Source organism: Homo sapiens, chromosome X (assembly GCF_000001405.40).
Source record: "Homo sapiens chromosome X, GRCh38.p14 Primary Assembly".
In the NCBI taxonomy this organism is placed as follows: Eukaryota; Metazoa; Chordata; class Mammalia; order Primates; family Hominidae; genus Homo; species Homo sapiens.
Window position 1 is genome coordinate 121,019,467 of NC_000023.11, and position 455 is coordinate 121,019,921.

Consider the following 455-nt stretch of genomic DNA (forward strand, 5'->3'; position numbering starts at 1 on the left):
CCTCGGTCCAAACCAGTAGTTATATTATTATAACAGTTAACTAAATAACCATAGATAACAGGCATATCCACCTTTGTTTATCTATCCATAGTAGGACTGGAGAAAACTTCTATTCTCAAGTTAATCGATTGACATTAGAGCTGTCTTCTGAGGTCTCTATCCATAAATGCCAGACACTTAATTAGATGCATTTCTTTTCTATACTATACTTCCAATCAAACCAGTTAACAAATTTTTTTGTGTGAAATTTAGGGCTTTGGTTTCTGGATGCATAGTAGTTACTTTTACTTTGATATTAAAACATAGTAATGAACATGGTCTTGTGTTTATTTGGCCAATAATCAGACTGTTGGATTCATAAATGCAGGCCCAGCATTTCTGTACTGGGAATACAATTCAGAGGAGAGAGGAAATGTGACTGTAGGAACCATTATTGGGAGTACAGAAAGAAAAAG